The sequence below is a fragment of the Homo sapiens genome, chromosome 5, assembly GCF_000001405.40.
Source record: "Homo sapiens chromosome 5, GRCh38.p14 Primary Assembly".
Classification (NCBI taxonomy): domain Eukaryota; kingdom Metazoa; phylum Chordata; class Mammalia; order Primates; family Hominidae; genus Homo; species Homo sapiens.
In genome coordinates, this window is record NC_000005.10 from 157,154,985 (window position 1) to 157,166,264 (window position 11,280).

The following is an 11,280-nucleotide window of genomic DNA, read 5'->3' on the forward strand; positions in this document are numbered from 1 at the left end:
AGAATGTGTATTCTGCTGTTGTTGAATGGAGTGTTCTATTAATTTTGATTAAATCTTGTTAGTTGATAGTGTTACTGATGTCTTCTGTATACTTACCAATTCTCTGTTTAATTGTTCTTTAAATTTTTGAGAGAGGGGTGTGGAGGTCTCAAACTACAAATTTGGTTTTGTTTATTACTTTCGGTTCTACCAGTTCTTACTATACATATTTTGCAGCTCTTATAATTGGTTGAAACACTTTTAGAATTGCTATGTCTTCTTGTTCCCTTTAATATCCTTTTTGTCATTATGCCACTCTGTGGTAATTTTCTCTGCTCTTCAGTCTATCTTATATTAATATAGCTATTTCTGGTTCACTTTGATTAATGTTTTTGTAATGTATCTTTCTTCATTGTTTTACTTTCAAAATGCCTATGTCGTTATATTTGTAGGGAGCTTTTGTTGACAGCATGTAGTTAGGTCATGCTTTTTTGTTCACTCTGCCAATGTCTTTTAATTGGTGTATTTAGACCATTTACATTTAACGTGATTATTAATATGTCAGGGCTTATGTATGCCATTTTATTTTTCGCTTTATGTTCTCTGTGTTTTTGTTTCTATTTTATTTTCCTGCTTTCCTGTGGTTTACTTGAGCAGTTTTTGAAATTCTGTTCTGGTTTATCTATAGTGTTTTTGAGTATATCTTCTTTTTAGCTTTTTTAGTGATTGCTGTAGGTATTCTATTATGTATACATAACTTTTTTACAATCTATCGCGTCATTTTACTAGTTTGAGTGAAATATGGAAAACTTACCTCCCTTTCTATCCCTTTACTCTCCCACATTTATAATATAGTGGCCTTAGATACTTCCTTTACAAAATTTTAATCCCATCAGACAGCTTAAACTGTCAAACATAACTTAGAAAATGCAAGAGAAGAAAAATCTACTGTGTTTTCCCATATTTTTGCTTACCATGTTCTTTCTTCTTTATCTTCCACAATCTCTCCCTACTTTTTATAAATCATTTCCTTACTGTTTACAGAACTTCCTTTAGCCATTCTTGTAGGATAGGCGTACTGATGACAAATTTTGTTTTCCTTCAACTGATGATGTCTTGATTTTCCCATTATTCTTGAAGTATTAATTTGCTGGGATGGGATTCTGGGTTTTCAACTCTTTTCTTTCAGCACATGAAAAACAATGTGCCACTTACTTCTGTTTTCCATGGTTTCTGATAAGAAATCCACTGTCATTTGAGTTGTTTTCCCCTGTAGATATTACACCATTTTTCTGTAGCTACTTAAACAAAAAAAATTTTTTTTTTTTTTTTTTTTTTGCGACAGGGTGTTTCTCTGTTTCACAGGCTGGTGTGCAGTGGTACGATCACAGTTCATTGCAGCCTCAGCCTCCCAGGCTCAAGCAGTCCTCCCAACTCAGCCTCCTGCGTAGCTGGGACTACAAGTGTGAACCACCATGCCTAGCTAATTTAAAAAAAAAAAATTTAGAAACGGGTTCTCCCTATGTTGCCCAGGCTGTTCTCAAACTCCTGGGCTCAAGTGATCTTCCCACCTTGGCAACATTTTTTGTTTGTTTGTTTTCAGAATTTAATTGTGCTTTGTCTTAGCATGGATTTCTCTGAGTTCACCCTATTTGGTGTTATTTCACCTTCTTCAATCTGTAGATTTATGTCTTTTGCCAAATTTGACGGCTTTCAATCACTATTTCTTCAAACTTACCCCTTCTTCTCTCTTTCTAGGACTCCAGTGACACAACGTTAGATCTTTTGTTATAGTCCCACAAGGCCTTGAGGCTTTATTTTTCTTCTAATCACTATTTTCTATGTTGTTTAGATTGGGTAGTTTCTATTATCCTCTTTCAGTTCACTGATTTTTTTCTCTTCTCCTCCATTCTGCAGTTCAGCCCAACCACTGAGCTTTTTTCTTCAGCTATTATAGTTTTAGTTCTAAAATTTTCATTTGGTTCTTCTTTTTCATCTTCTTTTTCTTTGTTGAAGTTTTTTTATTCTTTGCTGAGGATTTCTATTTCTTTCATTTGTTCCAAGCACATTCCTAACTCCGTTTTCATGGACGCCTTAAAATTTTTATGATATTAACTTAACATCTCTGTCTTTTTGATATTGTCACCTATAGTTTGTCTCTTTTCATTCCATTTTGAATTTTCCTATTTCTTGGTGTGACTCGTGATTTTTGGTTTAAGTCTGGACATTTATTCATTGGGAGACTCTGAATCTTATTTAAATTTACTTTCAACAGGCTTCTTATGACTCTACTCCAGCAGGAGATGGGGAGGGGGTGTGCCACCTCGTTACTTCTATAGCAGTTCAGGTTCCCTACTTGGCCCCCAGGGTGGACTTACCATGACTACTGGGCAAGGGTGGGAGTTCCAACTCCCCATATGGACACCACTAGCACAGGGAAGAGGAGGGAAGGGCTTCATTACCAGCTATCAGGAGTGAAAGTCAAAGTCCAAGCTCCTTCCTTGGCATTCTCTGATACTACACACTTGGGGTATAGGAGGCCTCGTTATAGCCTCATGAGGATGTTAATCTCAACTCCAACTCAGCCTTTGCTGTCATGAGTGAGGGTGGGGCCACAGCTTTTTTTTTTTTTTTCTTTTCTGTGATGTTTGGCTGAAGTTTGTGTTTGTGTAAAAGTTTTCTGCTTTTCTTGGCTGCCCCTGTCCTGGCCCTTTATTTATTTATTTTATTTATTTATTTATTTATTTTTTCCTGATCATATTTTTTGTTGGGATTTTTTTGGTATAGGTGGTTCCAGCTTCTTCACCTCCAGGTTGTGGAATATATGAGGCAAAAATTAACCAAACAAACATAAAACCCAGGGAAATAACCAGCATGTTGTTCCTCAGTTCCTGAAGTTCCTAGCTTTCTTTCCACCTTTCAAGTCTTCTGCTGTTTGTTTTATATGTAATGTTCAAAATCTTTAGTTGTACTGATCAGGAGGAACAGAGAAAAACACGTCTACTCCAACTTTCTGGAAGCAGTAAGAAGTGAATTATCGAAGCAATCAATTAAATATTTGTTTCCTTTTTTATCTCTACATGTTTTGAATTTTCTAAAATAGACCAATTAATTTGGCAGTAAGCAAATATACCTAGTTTTAAAATTATTTAAATTCAAAATTGTATATGCTACGTTATATCCTTCCTGGCTATCATCAACACTTTTCATAAGGTTAGTGAAGTCTCAAGGAGGTGACCCCAGCGCATTACACTGACATAGTGTTGTAAGTTGTGTTCTTTGTGAAGCGGATTTTGAGACAGAGTTTTGTGGGAAGGATGTTTGTTAAGGAGTGCTCTTAGGACCAGCACCTGTGGAAGGGAAAAGGGTGGAAGTAGGAGTACACAGGGAAGGAAGGTGAATTTTGATGCAGGCTCCTCAGGAAGCTCTGGAACTAGAATAGCCCTTCAGACTTGGTCTGTATTGGGCTGACAGCCAGACTTTCATACTCTGCATCACTCAGTTCTTGATGTGGGCTCTGGAAAGAGCATCACATTGGGTGAAAGAAATCTCTGCAACTGGCACAATTTCCAAACTCACTGCCAGCTGAAACTTGTCTGCCGGCAGCATTCTCAGCAACTGAGGACACAAGTCCTTCATTGAAGGAGGGTCTTGATAGTGCATCACCACGTATACCCCACATGGATATTTCTTTTTTTTTTTTTTTCTTTGAGACAGAGTACCGCTCTGCCACCCAGGCTGGAGTGCAATGGCCGATCTTGGTCACTGCAACCTCCACCTCCCAGGTTCAAGAGATTCTACTGCCTCAGCCTCCTGAGTAGCTGGGATTACAGGCATGCACCACCTGCCTGGCTAATTTTTGTATTTTTAGTAGAGACAGTGTTTCACCATGTTGGCCAGGCTGGTCTCGAACTCCTTACCTCAGGTGATCCGCCAGCCTCAGCCTCCGAAAGTGCTGGGATTACAGCCATGAGCCACAGCACCCAGCCATCACATGGACATTTCTAATGGGAACATGTCTTTCAAAACATCTCCTGTAATCTCATTTTATAGATCCTGCAGCAAAAGACAGGAATTACATAAGGACACATATTAACAACTACCTTCCCAAATATTTTTTTCTCACAGCAACTACAGTGACCTTTACAAAATACAAATCTGATCAAGTCACTCCTCAACTTAAAATGTTTCAGTGGCTTCTCATTACTAAGGACAGAAGTCAAAGTAGCATATGCGAACCTCAAAGCCTTGCACAGTCTGTCCCCTGCTGCTCCCTCTAGCATCTCGCCTTCCGTTCTTGCCCTGCCAGCCATGATGGCATTTGACATTTTGAGGCACCTTGCTTCTTCTCACCATAGACCAGTTTCCTCTGCTTCAAAGACTCCACCCTAACATGACAACTGCATGAGTGATCTTATACTGCTTTTGGCAAAATATCGCTTTGTCATCTTTGTTCTTATGTGTGTAATGCCAGACTTTAAGTTTGGAACATTGGTTAGTAATCGACCATCCACTGTCTCATTGCACTTGCAGCAGCAGAATTGTTACCATGGTGACAAATATTGCCGTTAAAAATATTGGCTTTTATCTGATAGGGGTATTGACTTGATGCCCCAATTGATAACTCCCTCTGAGGAAGAGGCCTGTTGCTTTGAAATACATAGGTATTTATGCATCTATCTCTTGATGAAGTATCAAGATAGAAAAGGAAATGCAGAGAAAGTGCATGGCACAGCACGCTGTGGTGGGCAAGTCCCCATCTCTACTTTACTTAAATTGCATTTGGGTGGATAAACTATATTCATGCTGAAGAAGCCCTCAGACAGGGGAGGGTGTATAAAACAAGACTAGAAGAAAGACAAAAGATAAAGCCATAGTCTACACAATTATGAGATTAAACCGTTTGTAGCTAGGATAATTCAGACTCTGGCATAGCTGTAAACCTGGAACTCCAGACCAAAGGCTTTGAAAGGAGTTTCCTTTTATCTCTCTCCTCTACCCCACCTGCCAACCTTTCACATTCCCGGGTGGCTTTCCCAAAGGCCCTCTCAGACTTTAGAGTATGTGCCTCTCTCTCTTTCTCTCTCCTTCTACCTGTACCCACTGTTTCAAGAGTCAACTCCCAGAACATCTTAATCTCAGCCTCTATGGTATTTATCAAAAATCACAAGATGAGATTTTCCAGCCACCCACTAGAGCAACTGAGAAGGGATTCCCCTGATACTGACAAGCCACCGCTCCTCCCAGAATACGTCGCTTCTCACCTCCTCCATCTTGGCTACACATATTTGGTGTTCAGAAAAGGTCCCTAAGTTTTGCCGGAAACCCAACTTCTGTCCTCCAAGGTACTGCTGCTGCAGAGAATGAGCAAAGACTTGCAAGGCTGGGCAGGTGCTCCCCTCCTGGACTTACATGGCTCCCAGAATCATTTTTCTCAAATCCAAATTTTATTATTTGGTGTTAATAATTTAATGTTTTCCATGGACTCATTTTACAGGTTTTTTAAAAACGGAAAGACAATTTTTTTTTACAGTAAAGGTTTTTAAAATTTATAATCCCATTTCTAATGTAGTGTGATTTTTTTATTCTGGGAATTAACTTGCACACGAACACATAATTTACATCATGTTAGTACACAGCATTTTGGACTATTTTACTTCTTAATATATTTAAACATTTTTCCGTGTTTCTGAATACTTTTTATGTCACTTAGAATTTTTATTTCATGCTTATTGAAAGATCTTTCAGACTTAGATATTCTGTCATAAATCTGTCATGTGTATGTGTAAAAAGGAAAACATTGGTGAAATAAATTGATTAGGGCATTTCTAAGGCAGTGATAGTGACATGCAATTGACACCTTGCTGACAGATTTAAAAACAATCCTGATTTCAGAGATATTAAAATAAAGATACAGTAACAACACCCCATGAATACAACCTCTTCTTTAAGAAATAGAATAATCACTATTCTGTTGAAACTCCTTGTGTGTGCCCCTCAGATCAGACATCTCTCCCTTTATCCTATAGATAGTCACTATCCTTAATTTTGTGATTATCATTTCCTTGTTTTTCTCTATACTTTTAGCAAATATATATCCCATTGTTGAATCTTATTTTTGAGCTGTTCTACAAATTGAACTATATCATATATATTTTTGTGACTTGCTTTTAGTATCCCACATTATGTAAGATTTATCCATGCCAGCCACACATGGTGGCTCATGCCTGTGATCCCAGCACTTTGGGAGGCCGAGGAGGACGGATTGCTTGAGGTCAAGAATTCGAGACCAGCCTGGCCAACATGGCAAAACCTTGTCTCTAGTAAAAATACAAAAATTTAGCTGGGCATGGTGGTGCATGCCTGTAATCCCAGCTACTCCGGAGGTTGAGGCATGAGAATTACTGGAGCCTGGGCAGCCAAGGTTGCAGTGAGCCAAGATTATCCCACTGCACTCCAGCCTGGGCAACAAACTGAGACTCTGTCTCAAAAAAATAAAAAATAAACATTTATCAATGCTAACATGTATAGCTGCTATTCATTTTCACTATTGTAGATTATGCACTGTAGTCCATTCCACAATTTATTAACTCTCCTGTTTGATGAACATTTGGGCAATTTCCAGGGTTTTGCTATTACAACTTGTTTTACTGTAAACATTCTCCTAGTTGTCTACTGGTAAGCATATGTGAGAATTTCTCCACTGTCTACACCTTGGAGGAAGACTTGTTAAGATTAGATCAAGAGTCAGCACACATTTTCTTAAAGGCCCAGATAATATTTTAGATTCTGTGGGCCATATGGTCTCCATTGCCACTACTCAGAGCTGTCATTTTTAGCGTGAAAGCAGCCATAGGCAATATGCAAAGGAAAGTCTGTGACTATGTTCCAATAAAACTTTATTTACAAATCCAGGCAGCTGGTAAGATTTGGACCTCAGAACATGATTTGCCAATTCCTGATCTAGAAGAATAGATTTCCTATTCTAATTGCCTACAAATACTGCTGTATTGCTCCTTCCTACCCTGAATATCCCCTGAGGGGATGTGAATCCTGTCTCTGCATAGGCTAAGAACTGGACTGAATGTCCATGTTCAGGGGCATTCAGGGAAAAGAGGAGAATGGGCGAGGGGACATGGTGGTGGCCATGCATCCCAGCTCTTAGTCTGTGGCTTTGACAGTCTCGGGGAAGCAAAAGGGATTGAGGCAAAGCTGAACACTCACGTTGGCTCTGCTGGCCGTGGGCGGGTGGTGGAGCTCTACTTGCCTGGAGGCTGGGGTCTCCAGCTGTAGCATAGCCACCATCACAGAAGCCACTGTGAGGTCACCACCAGGCTATGGGCAGAAAAATTCAAGCAGGAGATTGTATTTCTTTTGGAGTTGTACGATTTCCTTTATTATTTGAACTGCAGTAAAGAAAGCTGGGATGGGCTCCTCTAGGGATACTTCCAGATCCCTGGGCGGTTGTAGCCCTGGCTCCTCTTTAAATGGATTTGGTTTCAAAGACGATCATCTCCGTCTTCTCGGATGTCATAGTGCCACTGATCATCTCCAGCTCCTGGCCACCCTGGGCTTTCTCCACTTTGGCCTCTATGTTTTGCTTCTCCACCATCTTAGCCACGATATCTACCTCTCTGTCATGTGATGTGACCCTTGTTTTTGAACCAGGAGTGGCCCTGAGGCTCCTTAAAAAAGAGCTGATCTTACTGGCTTTCTTTTGTAAAGCTCCTGTGCTAGATGCAGATTGGTTCTTCCCCAGTTCCTGAGTTGTTCTCGACTCCTTTTTGGTGGAGCTGTGGGTGGAGCTCTTGCGAGAGGAGCCATGTCGCTTGCCCCTTACGTTGCTGTACCCTTTTTCTTTTTTGTCATCTCTCGTGTTTTTATGGCCAGATGCGGACCGGTGGGAAGACGCTTTCTGATTCTTGTCCCCCGCTCTCCTGCGGTGACTTTCACCTGCCTTGCGGTGATGAGAACTTTTCCTACTGGGATGTCTGTCCTTCTTTTCTCTTCTTTCCTTGTTTTCATTCCAGACTTCAGCACTGGGCTGGGAAACTTTCTGGCTTCCATCTCGTTCACTCATGTAGCCTTCGCTTTGCAAGGTGGAGATGAGGGGTCCCACTGCTGGTCCTTCAGTTCTTTCTGCTGCACACTTGCTGGTCGTAATACTGCCTGCAAACGCCGCACTCAAGCTGCTGTCTTGGGAGAGACTGGCGGCCCCCGCCATCGAGGTGGAAGTACCTTCCAAGGAGGTGCTTGCAGCACCCACCAAGGCCAAGCTAATACCCTCTGAGGATATGTTGGCAGCACCTGCCATGGACTTGCTGGATTCATTTTCTCCTGGATTTTTGATAGCTGCTCCCGCCAGCGCTGTGGTCACTTGACCTGGGCCTGCAGATTTGGTTGTTGCTATGCTCATAGCACCTGTTGCAGGACTCATTGCTGCCCCTGCTATTGCCACATCTGTTCTAGGTCCTGTTGCTGTTCCTGCCACTGCCATGCCACCTGCTGTCCTTGCTGCTCCTCCTTCAGCAGCCCCTGGAGTGCTCGTGGATGGAGAAGCCGCACTAGCCGTTCCGTGGGAGGCATGTTGGATTCCCTCTCCCCCAGCATAAGCAGAAGAGGTGGCTGCAGATACATCACAAGGCTTGTAGAGCCCAGTCTCACTCTGATCCCCTTCTCTGTGGAGCTCTGCAGCCTATACCAAGGGGAAGAGAAACAGATGAGATTGAGATGACTGAAAGGGAGATCAGAACTTTCTACTCCTCTCTTATCCTGGAGTTAATTCAAGGGCTTATAATTAGAAGAACCTGGGTCGGGTGTGGTGGCTCACGCCTGTAATCCCAACACTTTGGGAGGCCAAGGAGGGCAGATCGCTTGAGGCCAGGAGTTCAAGACCAGCCTTGCCAACATAGCAAAACCCCGACTCTACTAAAAATACAAAAAATTAGCTGGACAGGATGGCGCATGCCTGTAATCCCAGCTACTCAGTAGGCTGAGGTAGGAGTATCGCTTGAACTCAGAAGGCAGAGGCTGCAGTGAGCCAAGACTGCGCCACTCCACTGCACTCCAGCCTAGGCAACAGAGTGAGACACTGTTTAAAAAAAAGAAAGAAAGAAAGAAAGAAAAAAGAAAAAAGGAAGGAGAAGGAGAACCTCTAAAATCATTAAGTCTAAGTCTTTTGTCTTTTTTTTTTTTTTTTTTTTTGAGACAGAGTCTTGCTCTGTCGCCCAGGCTAGAGTGCAGTGGCACGATCTTGGCTCACTGCAATCTCCGCCTCCCAGGTTCAAGGGATTCTCCTGCCTTAGCCTCTTGAATAGCTGGGACTACAGGCGCCCACCACCATACCTGGCTAATTTTTTTGTATATTTAGTAGAGATGAGGTTTCACCATGTTGGCCAGGCTGGTGTCGATCTCCTGACCTCTGGTGAGCCGCCTTCCTTGGCCTCTCAAAGTGCTGGGTTAACAAGCATGAGCCACCGCACCCGGCCTAAGCCTAAGTCTTGCTCTCATTTCTTGCCAAGTTCCATCTACAGCACCCCTTCAATGGTCACTCAGTTTTGGTTGAGCAATTCCAGTACCAGAGAAAGTACTGATACAATTCCTCATCCTTGGACATTGTATTTTACACACTTATTTTTACGTGCTCTGCAGGACAGATTTCCAGAAGTGGGATTGCACAGTCAAGGGATACACTCACTTTACATTTTGGTGACTACTACGATTGTGCACGTGCATACACACACACAGGGTGTGCTGATTGACACAGAAATCAGTGCCTGGTAGTCACAGGGAGACAGACTGTGACTCAAATCGAAGAAAGACTTCTTCATTGTTAAAAATATGGCACAGCACTTTAGTGGATGATAGTGAAACCTCATCTCCACTAAAAAAAAAAAAATTATAAAAATTAGTTGGACGTGGTGGCAGGTGCCTGTAATCCCAGCTACTCAGAGGCTGAGGCAGGAGAATCTCTTGAACCCAGGAGGCAGAGGTTGCATTGAGCCGAGATCGTGCCATTGCACTCCAGCCTGGGAGATAAGAGCGAAACTCTGTCTCAAAAAAAAATTGCACAAAAATCTGTACAGTCTCCAGTTGCACATTGGAGACTCAGAAGGGTTGGAGGGGGTGAGGGATGGGAAATTACTTAGTGGGTACAATGTATATTATTCAGATGATGGTTACACTAAAAGCCCAGACTTCACCAGTATGCAATATAGTCACACACACAAAGCTACACCTACACCCCTTAAATTTATACAAATAAAAGTTCCACAACAAATCAGACCACCTGGGTTGGGGTATTAAGTGTTCAAGAAAAGACTGACGATCAGGATGGTGTAGAAAGGATTTCAACCCTGGGTGTGAGACCAGAGTAGCTGATACCTAAGGTCTCTGAAATTCAGCCTTATGGGACACACAAGCCCTCCCACCTCCCAGTGTGGTAAGTCCCCTAGTAGTGGCTCATTTGGTCCTGAGCCCTTGCACATGCAATACTTTTTCCAGGTGGGCCTCAGAAGGCACCAAAGGCTTTGTAGGACTGGCTTTGAACTGCTCCCCCAAAGAACCTGCCCCATGTTCTCGAGCCTTTGAGAGGCTTACCACTAGGCTTTTGTTGTCTTCGGGTGGTGCGTCCCCAGATAGAAGTGTTGGGGTACTGCAGTAACTCTCTACTGGTGGCCTCAGGAGATAGACAAGTTTTTCCCAATAGCAAAAGAGATCTTCCCGTGTGTCAGAAGAGGGACACAACTGCAGATAAAAAGTACGGCCAGTGGCGAGTTTCAGGCGCAGCTGCTGTTTCTCATGATCGTGGATGGAGATCTTCACAAATTTCAAGGGAAGCAGTCTCGTGAGCTCTAGAGTCTTGACGGGCCTGCGACCTCTCCCCTTGGCAAACCGGCCCCATCTGACATGCTGTTCACAGATTTTAGTTGGTTGGGCCAGAACCATGACGTCAGGCAGTGGGAGGATGGGGCTGGTGCAGACGATGCCCACTGTCACCATTCGGACACGGTTGTGTACATCAATCACCTCTCCCTTTTTGTTTATCTGAATAAAATTACTCTCGAACATTGGTGCATACTTGAAAATGTTGTACTCTCCTCTGTTGTACAATTGTCGTTGCAGGTCCCCCATGGAGGTTTTGAACGCACTCATTGAAGAGTAGCTGTGGGCTGTGTAATAAGGTAAACAAGATTCATTGCTCATGGTTCTCTTCGTTTAAGACAGCTCCACCAGCCACAAATAGAGTCCCCGAGAGAGAGACGGAGAGAAGGTAACTGCCCATCTCCCTACAGGACTTCT

The 11,280-nt window shown here is 42.6% G+C and overlaps 1 protein-coding gene across 1 annotated transcript; it reads right to left on the bottom strand.

Annotated features, from left to right (window-relative positions):
- Positions 1 to 6,861: 6,861 nt before the first annotated feature.
- GARIN3 (golgi associated RAB2 interactor family member 3) lies at positions 6,862 to 11,280 on the bottom strand. Its single transcript, NM_130899.3, has 2 exons — positions 10,579 to 11,280; positions 6,862 to 8,674 (listed from the first exon to the last, which is right to left on the bottom strand). Exons 1-2 carry the CDS (start codon positions 11,182 to 11,184, stop codon positions 7,463 to 7,465), a joined length of 1,818 nt encoding a protein of 605 aa, NP_570969.2. The 5' UTR covers positions 11,185 to 11,280; the 3' UTR covers positions 6,862 to 7,462.

What these genes read in the sequence shown, in the direction of transcription:
- GARIN3 (NM_130899.3), bottom strand. Translation starts at nt 11,184, where the DNA reads ATGAGCAATGAATCTTGTTTACCTTATTACACAGCCCACAGCTACTCT. An exon ending in AAGACAACAAAAGCCTAGTG is followed by an intron (nt 8,675 to 10,578) that starts GTAAGCCTCTCA and finishes CCCTTGGTATAG; the next exon opens with GCTGCAGAGCTCCACAGAGA.